The sequence below is a fragment of the Homo sapiens genome, chromosome 16, assembly GCF_000001405.40.
Source record: "Homo sapiens chromosome 16, GRCh38.p14 Primary Assembly".
Lineage (NCBI taxonomy): Eukaryota > Metazoa > Chordata > Mammalia > Primates > Hominidae > Homo > Homo sapiens.
Window position 1 is genome coordinate 77,533,660 of NC_000016.10, and position 9,258 is coordinate 77,542,917.

Here is a 9,258-nt window from a genome sequence, read left to right on the forward strand (position 1 = left end):
AGAGCAATTGTTTAAACATTATGGTTCATCAGGTAGGCCATCCAAGAGGATATTTTAACAGACTATTTCATGAAATGGCAAACGGCTATTGATAAAAAGTTGGATGAAAAAATCAGGATTCAAACCAGCATACACAATAGGATACTGATTAAAATTGTATGATACACATGGAGAGAGAGAGAGAGTGTTGTGGGGGAGAGAGAGAGAGAAATTCTAGGGATTGGGAGAACACTTCACTCCCAACTGTTAGCAGTGAATGTTTCTGACTGGTTGGACTATGGTTAATTTTTGTTCTCTCTTTGAATTCTTTTTTTCCCCAAACACTTAAATGAGTTTTGGGGGGGGGAAAAAACGTATCATTTCTAAAATAAGAATAAATAAATGTTTTATAATTTTGTTTTATGTTTAATCATTTAATTCTAATAAATTTTATTTGGGAGATTTGAGAGTTTAATAAATGACCAACTAATGAAATTCACAGACAAAACTCATGAATCTGTTTGGCCGTGTCCATCCAGGCAGAGTAAAGGAGAAAGAGTAGAGAAATAGGCCAGGCGCGGTGGCTCACACCCGTAATCCCAGCACTTTGGGAGGCCGAGGTGGGTGGATCATCTGAGATCAGGAGTTCGAGACCAGCCTGGTCAACATGGTGAAAACCCGTCTCTACTAAAAGTACAAAAATTAGCCAGGTGTGTTGGCGGGCACCTGTAATCCCAGCTACTCAGGAGGCTGAGGCAGGAGAAGCTTGAACCTGGGAGGCGGAGGTTGCAGTAAGCCAAGATTGCGCCACTGCACTCTAGCCTGGGCAACAAGAGCTAGACTTCATCTAAAAAAAAAAAAAAGAGTAGAGAAATAAAGGACGTGGCAGTGGCGGTGGGTGTATGTTTTTGGGGAGGTGAGGGAATGAGGAAGGCAGGGAAACAGAGTTCTCTGCTTCCTTTGCAAGCCTGATGAATAGAAAGGTATCAACAGGGTAACAACTCAATGAAGTTATTGCTATGAGCTGCCTTGGTTTCCTCCCCCAGACACACGGAGCTAAATGGGACTTCAGTGGGAGTCTGCAAGTTCTAATTGCTCTCCTGGCAGAAGCTCTCAGATCTGGCTCAAACACATCAAGAAGGACAATTTCCTAGAAATGGAACAGTCAGGTCTCAATTTCATGCAAGTTTATTCTTTTCAATAAGGCAGTTAAATCACATTTTACATCTGGTACTAAATTAATGGGTTGTATGTTGTTACGGACTTTTCATAGAACCATCTTCACAAGGATTACATATGCATAGAGGTTAAAATCATAGACTTAGGAGTCAGTTCCAGTTTGAGCTGTGTTTCCTCAGGCAAGTTATTTCACCTCTCACATCTGTTTCCTCATCTGTAAAATGGAGACAATCAAAGAGCTTACTTCTTTGGCTTTCTTATGAAGATGACATGAGTTAAAATGCATCAGGTATTTAGAACAGTGCCTGAAAAAGAGAATATGCTACATTTTGCAATGTCTGTTCTATTAAATAAAAATAAGTTGGAAACATTTCTTGGTCAGACCATATCTGACCGTATCATGTTTGCATCAGGAGACATGATTTCTTCTCTGTTGTCTGTGGTCACTGTCATAAAACAAACAGGTTTGTTTGTTCATTCAAATGTGAATAAAAAGAAAAAACAAGCAATGGTCAGTATCTCTTTTGACTGCCCCAAGTCCCAAGAAAGGGGAGACAATGTGGTGTTTGTAGGAGCTCACCTAATAGAGTACATGAGGCTGCTACAAACAGGAAGCAGAGGGAGAGGGAAAGCTTGGAGAAGTAGTTGCTGACCTTGGGAGAGACAGGGTGCCCCAAACTTGGAAGGGGACAAAGGTTGGGAGGGCAGCGAGTCATGGAAAAAGAGCCTGCTTCTTGGAAGCATCTAGAGTCATTGATGGGACTTCAAATAGTATTGATGCAGTGAGGAAGAAATACATCATCCCTGGCCTTCAGGGCTGAGGTTCAGGCTGCAGGTGTGAAGAGGTGGGTGGAGAAACCTGTAAAGATGCCTCGTCATAATAAGGAGGTGGAGCAGAAGGAGACAGCCATTTATGGAGCATCTCCTTTGTCCTGGGTGCTCTCCCAACTTACAAAGTAGGATCATCTTTCCCATTTCAAAGATGAGCAAATTAAGATAACTTCCCAAGGGTCATGTAGACCTGGATTCAAATTGCAAGTATTCAAATCCTTGATTTTCTATCTGTCCAGACTCTGCACCTCTCCTGGCCACCCATTATCAGTAAATCTTGAAGCTGCAGGATAGTAAGTCAGTCAAGATGAGGCAAGGTTTGACCTGCCTACCTGGTCATTTGCAATCCTCCTGTGATTTAGCCAAAATCTCTACTTGGTCCTCCTGGGGGAGTATACAGAGGAATATACCATAGATTTCAGAATTTGCATGCTATTAGGGATCAAGGAAAGGAAAGGAAGGGTGAGAACAGGCTGGATAAAATCCTAATACATCAGCCTTCATCTCTGTAGAGGTCCTGTTGATTGCTGCAAAGAGTACAGGCTTTGGCATCAGAGAGCGTGCGGTTGAATCCCAGCTGGGATTATAAATTGTGTAATATAGGGTCAGTGAATCTCTCTATCTGAGCCTTATTCACTTTCTCTATAGTATAAATTACTATCATTTCCATTTCACATAATACCCTGTGCGGGATGAATAAGACAACAGAGTGAGAGGCTTAGCTTGGTGCTTAACTAATATTAAGGCCCTCCAGCTCTTCCCCAAATGTATATCCATCCAGGTTTTCTTCTCCCCACCAAGACAAGGAACCTGATCTTAAAGTGTGTGCCTCATGCCCCTGAGAACTACACTGTGCTCAACATCCACACAGACATGTCTAAACCAGGTGGGCTCTTTAAAAACCTCCCTAACCCCTCACTGAAATTCCCAGTAATTATTTTAAATGACACAAAGAGAAGAACAAGAGGACATGAAGACAAAGACTGTTAGTTTTTCTAATAGCTGAAAAAGAAAACAAAATGAAGAAAAATAGTCCCCACGAAATTCGTATGGTAAAAAATACAAACCATGTTGTCTTTAACTGGGTTCATATAGTAAGTTCAGACTGTACTCGGGACATATATACCTTGTAATTGTTCAATAGCTTCAGCCTGGACAGACAGTGTTAATCAGTTTCTGCTGCTTGCTCTCAGCTGTGGCTTTGGCGAGTGAGAAAAGATAAATTCCCAGAGTTGAAAACTGAAAAGCAACACTGTGCAATCATGAGAATTAAGGGAAAAAAGACAGTCTTGGTTTGAGTTATTGTATATTCCTGGGGAAGCTGTGCAAGGACTTTCCAGCTGTGAGCTGCTAGGAGAGTCTGGGCCAAAATGCTCACAGGGGAGCTACATGGACTGCTGCAGTAGAAGGAACAGAGGCAATGGATAGACAAATGGTTCTCAGCCAGGGTCAATTCTGTTCCCTGGGAACACTCGACAATGTCTGCAGACGGTATTGATTGTCACGGGGGTTGGGGGATGTACTGCCGGCATCTAATGGGCAGAGGCCAAGGATGTTGCTAAATATACTGTAATGCACAGGACAGCCTCCACCCCTGCAAACCCCTCCAAGAAAGAATTTATCCAGCCCCAAATACCCATAGTGCTGGACTTGAGAAACCTTGAGCAAAACATACAGACAAATGCAAGCTCATTACTGTGGGCAAGAGACAAGCTTTGACATTCAGACTTAGCATTTAAAACCAAATCTTGTTTCTTATAATGGCACTTCCCTCCTCAAAGCCACATATGAATTTGTAGCCTCCAGTCTATGTTTCTTTCTTTTCTGTCCATGAGAGTGGAAACACATTATTTGTCAAGTCCTTAACATGCCACATACTTTTCTAAGTGCTTTACAACATTGTCTACTAACTCTAATTCTCATAACTCTGTGCAGGATTTATGATGATCATACCCATTTTACACACCAGGAAACTGAAGCTCAGAGGGATTATGTAAATTGTCTAACTATGTAGTAGCAAAACCAGGATTTAAATGCAGCCCTGTCTGATTCCAAAGTATCAACTCCTAACTCCTCAGCTCTTCTTGCAAAACTTAACCTTACAGCTTAGCCAAACCCAACAGGTCACTGAACATCCCTGACCTTTGTCCTCCTATGAAATGGAGATAATCACAGCTTCATAATGTTGCCTTTTATAAAAGGGAAGAACCTAGCATGGTACCTGGCAATATCATCATCTAGGTTCCCTAAAAGGCTCAAGCAGACAATTCCCATATGATCACACCCAGGAATGTCCTACAGTTGCAAACAAATTGGACTAGAGGTCCCCAGACCTTCTTCTAGTTCAGAGATTCCAGATTCTAGCCAAAACTTAGCAAATCTTCAGCACTTGACTCAAACCCTCCTCTCCTCCCGTGGTTACCTGATACTTTGCTTGCCCTCTACAGCACAGGTGAACTCTTTCTATAAAACCAAAGTTTCTTCCTTTTTGCACTGAGCTCCAGACAGTATTTCTTTTTATGTAAGATTGTAGAATTTAACTTGAAAGCATTCCATCATAAGTGTCTTGAAATGTGAATTTCATCGCGTCCATTTTTGTTGTCACGCAGAACAGATTATATACCATTGTTGTAAGTGATTAATACATACATATGAATGATTTGGCTCAGGTAAGCAGCAGAAGTAATAAAGCTTGATTGTGTACTAAGTGATTTTGGACACTTGATCTCATTTGGTCCCCATGATAACCTGTACTGGGTCAAAACAGCATCACCTGTCCCTCCCATGCCTCTCTTCCCACCCCTTTGTGTTATTCTGAGGATACTTCAGTGGCTTTGTATTCCCTTCACCTACTGTATGGAGGGGAAATAATCTTTTTAGGATTCATTTTTTATCTCTGATAAATACAGAGGTTGAACTCAATCAATGGCTTCCAAATGTTGGTATTTATTTAAAGGATCCTTTCTTTAAAGTCTTATACAGCACCTTCAAATAATAAGCAGAAAGAAGCAGAGCTGCCCTGGTGGAAGAGGGGCAGGGTATAGGGGGTGCTAAGAAGACATGTTTAGAGCCTGCTCGTGATCCATTGTGATGGTTTCCAGCATCACTCCTGCTCCATCTGCTAGGTCACCCATGCTCCTGTTGGGCACTGCTCGTCTATAAGCAGTACAGCACAGCAAGACCCAACAGAAAGACTCCTCTCAGCAGACTTCTCTACTGACCTGAAGCCTAAAAGCAATCAAGGCTCCAAACGTAGTATCCAACCTCCAATGATGTAACAGTCTCCATGTACCATCCAAGATCCATTCTCTTCCAGGGGCAGCCTTGATGGGAGGCACAAGCCTACCTTGCCTGTTCATCTTATCTTTCCTCTGCTTCACTCCACCATTCTCTTTCCCACTTCTACCCCCCTCTGTTTCTTGAAGAACCTTCACATTCTTTCTTGCATTTAGGCATTCCCCTGTCCGCCAACCCTTGGATAACCTCACCTTCTTGGAAAAGCCAACTCTATAGCATTTATAAGCAAAGGCTTTCAAAAAAAAAAAAAAAGTCCTATTATGTCTCCCTATTAACTTTTCCAGATATGATGGTAAGGTTTGTGAGTAAGAACAGAAACATCATTCCCTTCTCACCTTCTCTGATGTGTAGTACGGGAAGGGGGGGAAAACACCCTTATCTTTTCATTCCATCATTGTTTTAGTGATTAACCACAAAAAGTCCAATTTTCTTGCAACATTCATTTTTTATCTTCCTGGTTTCTCCATCATTCTCCCAGACTCTGCATTTCCAAGCCAGCCACCAGGAAAATGACAAAAAACACATAGTACACACAAAGGCAACTGCATCCCATCCATTTTCCCAAAGTGCATGATCGGGTCACATGTGGAGAGATTAATGTGATTCAGAGCTTGGAAATATGCTGCTTTATGATTATTAACGAGGGTAGCTTGGAAGTGAGAGGACTTTGCAAACACATCAGTTGAAAAAATGTATTTTCTACCTTGTTTATGAGACACAAACATATATAATTCAGTTCAAGGGTTGAGATTTTCTGTTATTGTGTGCCAGGGATTATTTATCACAATTGTGAATAATTTCCCAGTACAAATTATCCTCATCTTATCATCCAAATGTACTTCCCTTCCACATCACTCATGTCATGCTGAAATCTAAGGCCATAAAGTCTAAACGATGAAATAAGTCTTCCTTCAGATGGCAGCATATGGTGTGTGTTGGTTGGGGTTTTTTAAAGCACAGTGAAATTTACCACTGTCAAAGACTGGCCTCCCAGCTTTTTTCTCAGTTGGTGACTCTGGTGTCTGAAGCTGATAGAAAATTATGCACTTAATAAAATATGAGATTGCAAGGGAGAGATAAAGCCAAAGTAAGCAGCAGTCCAGCAGAGGAGAACCCACTTTCAACAGCCGGTGCCTTCATGTCTATCATGCTGATTGAAGCCATCCAGAGGTAAAAACATAAGCTTGGAGCTATGCAAGACTTAAGGGCGAGAGCAAAGGCATCCTACTCGAAATATAAGATGAATGTCTACAAATGTGTGCTGGGCTGCTCTAAATATGTTGAAAACGTGGCATGTTGGAATATTTGTGTGAAAGGAATACGAACTCTGATTAGTGAATCTCTGCAAGGGGCATAGTGCATTTTTCTTTATTACCTAGGGTACTTTTTATTAACACCCATGAAGAACCAGCAGATACATAAGAAAATAAAATCAAAATATGAATTTTTGTGTTTTTATTGAGAAATAAAACCAGATTTCAGAAAACCTCAATTTTCAAAAAAACAAAAAATATTCCTCTTCAGCAAAGCCAACACACAAAAAAAATGGGTCCAAGTGAAGTCCCATGACACAATGCAACTTTAGAAAATAGTAAGAAAATGAAGCAACACAAAAGCAAATAAAAATCATTTCAATTCCTAAAAAGAGGGAGTTAAAAGAATGCCATGCATTTATCTTTAATAAGGATTCTATTTAGACTTAATCTGTCAAATATTTTGAGGTACATATCCATTGTTTTTGTTAAGGAAAGTGTTGAATGTTCTTTTTTTTTTTTCTACAATGGAACATATTTTTATGATCTCTCTAACTTGTTTTTCTGTTCCTTATCCACAAACAGGCTTTGGTTGCTAGGATGCATTGTCAAACTCCACCAGAGGCATGACCACAAGCTCGAGTATACAACCACCATATTTGTGGTCAGAGAGATGGAATAACTTGCTTGTGGTCACACAGCAGGTGATTAAAACAGAAAGCACTGGTCTGGAAGTAAACAGGACTCGAGATCCAGCCTGCAGTTGATAGGCTCAAGCTCTGCACCTTAAAATATAATCTCATTTTCTATCTTCATAGATTTTCCATCTTCAGAAACAAACTTCTCATATTGCTCTTTGTTCCTTTATGTGCCTGTCAATCCACGGAATCATCAGCTTTCCTGTGAACTCAGGCCACTCCTGTAGCATATTTACATCTGGAACCTCTTTCTTCCTGTCAACCACCAAGCCCCTTGTGTCTTTAAAGAGTCTTGCTAAATCTCTTCTCCTCCATTAAGGCCTCTGTGATGAGGTGTGAGCCAGGGCTCTGCTCTGCCGTCCCATTGCAAAGATTAGCACATGGGGTGCTGAACCAAAGAACACAAATGTAGAATCAGTTCATCTGGGACCTGACTGGATATGCTAAGGAGGATTCCAGCTGCTTAACGTCTGCTCAATTGTATCTTATTCTGCATATGTCCTCATTGTCATTGCCTCAGTCTTTGGGATTCATTTGCATCTCCCTAAACAGCAATTGGCAGCCATTGTGGGAGGTGGTACAAGGAGGAGGGCCCTCCATGATAAATCTCTTCATTCTATCTCAGCTAGAAATGTGGGACAACCAAGCAGATGGTTATCAACGTGGTGGGCTTTGGGGTATCAGTAAGCTTTCCCGATCCAAGATTAGACCCTCAGCAGTCACCTAATTTTTCCATCATTCACTCCACTCCTTATGGGCCTCTGAGAGATGTGCACATTTAAATGGTATTTTGTTACCTACTGAGGATAAGATAGTCTGGGAGAAAGACTTCTAGACTAAGAACACCTGGGTTTCAATCGCAGCGATAACATGTGCTGCAAATGTAAGCTTTGTGAAAGCATCTACTGTCCAAGTATCATTTTCTTCCTCTCTATAATGAAATAAAAAATACTTGCCTTGTCAAATCTCCCAGGGTTGAAGTAGAAATTACATAAAGTCACGTACAGAAAAGCAATTTACAAAGTTTTTATGGACGTAAAACATACATGTAGAGAGTGTGCCTTTAACAAGTGCACGGCTTGGTGAATTTCCCTGTACCGAATTTACACATGTAACCAGCAACTAGATCAAAAAGCAAAACATGACCCTGAAGCTCCCTGTGTCCCCTTCCAATCCCTCGCTCCAGCAAAGGCAACCACTATCCTGAGGTAACTATTGAAAATTAGTTGCACTTCTTTCTTTACAGGAAAGGGATCACGCAATATAATTTGTGTCCCCTTCCTTCACTCCCGTTTCTCAGATTCAACCAAATTGTTGTGAGTAGCTTTAATCAGTTGTTCTCATGGTTGTATAATATTCTATTGTATGAATATACCACATGTTTTAAATGCATCCTACGGTTGATGGAGATGTTAAATAGGGCTGCCAAACAATCTATACACTTTAAAGAAATATACAAATGTGAGATATTATTATTACTATAAGGCCAGACCAAATAGACATGGAGGCTTTGAGAGAAAATTATTGAGCAATGAAATTGTAGTGGAAAAAAAAAAGGATCATTCAGGATGAGATGTGTTTTGCATCAAGGAAAAATATAAAATATAAGGTATGTCACAAATCTGAGATGTTGCCAAATGTTTTCAAATTCATTCACTTATGTCAGCCAATATCTGAGTTCCTATAATATGCCAAATGTTGTGCACTATTTTATATAATTCTAATAAAAATCCTATAAGGTAGACAGTGTAGGTATTCTTATCCCCTTTTTATGAATAAAACTGGAGCCCAGAGAAGTGTGCATGAACCCTTTAATGTAGTGGCAGAGCTGGACTAGAGCAAATTCATTCATTATCCCATTCATTCATTCATTTGGCAAGTTTTCATTGAGCTTCAGGATATGCTGAACACTGGGAGAGAAGTTGGAGATAAGCTATGCAAGGAGACACAAGCTCTCATGTCAATTACTATGTAGTTGAAGTTACACCCATTGATCAGTAATCACCCAGATGAATGGAAAA

At 40.5% G+C, this 9,258-nt stretch overlaps 1 annotated feature.

Annotated features, from left to right (window-relative positions):
- Window positions 7,406-7,984: an enhancer, noted in NCBI's record as "OCT4-NANOG hESC enhancer chr16:77574962-77575540 (GRCh37/hg19 assembly coordinates)". NCBI's record gives its function as "activates a minimal SCP1, AML or CMV promoter by ChIP-STARR-seq in primed H9 embryonic stem cells {active_cell/tissue: H9 hESC(primed)}" and the evidence as "EXISTENCE:reporter gene assay evidence [ECO:0000049][PMID:30033119]".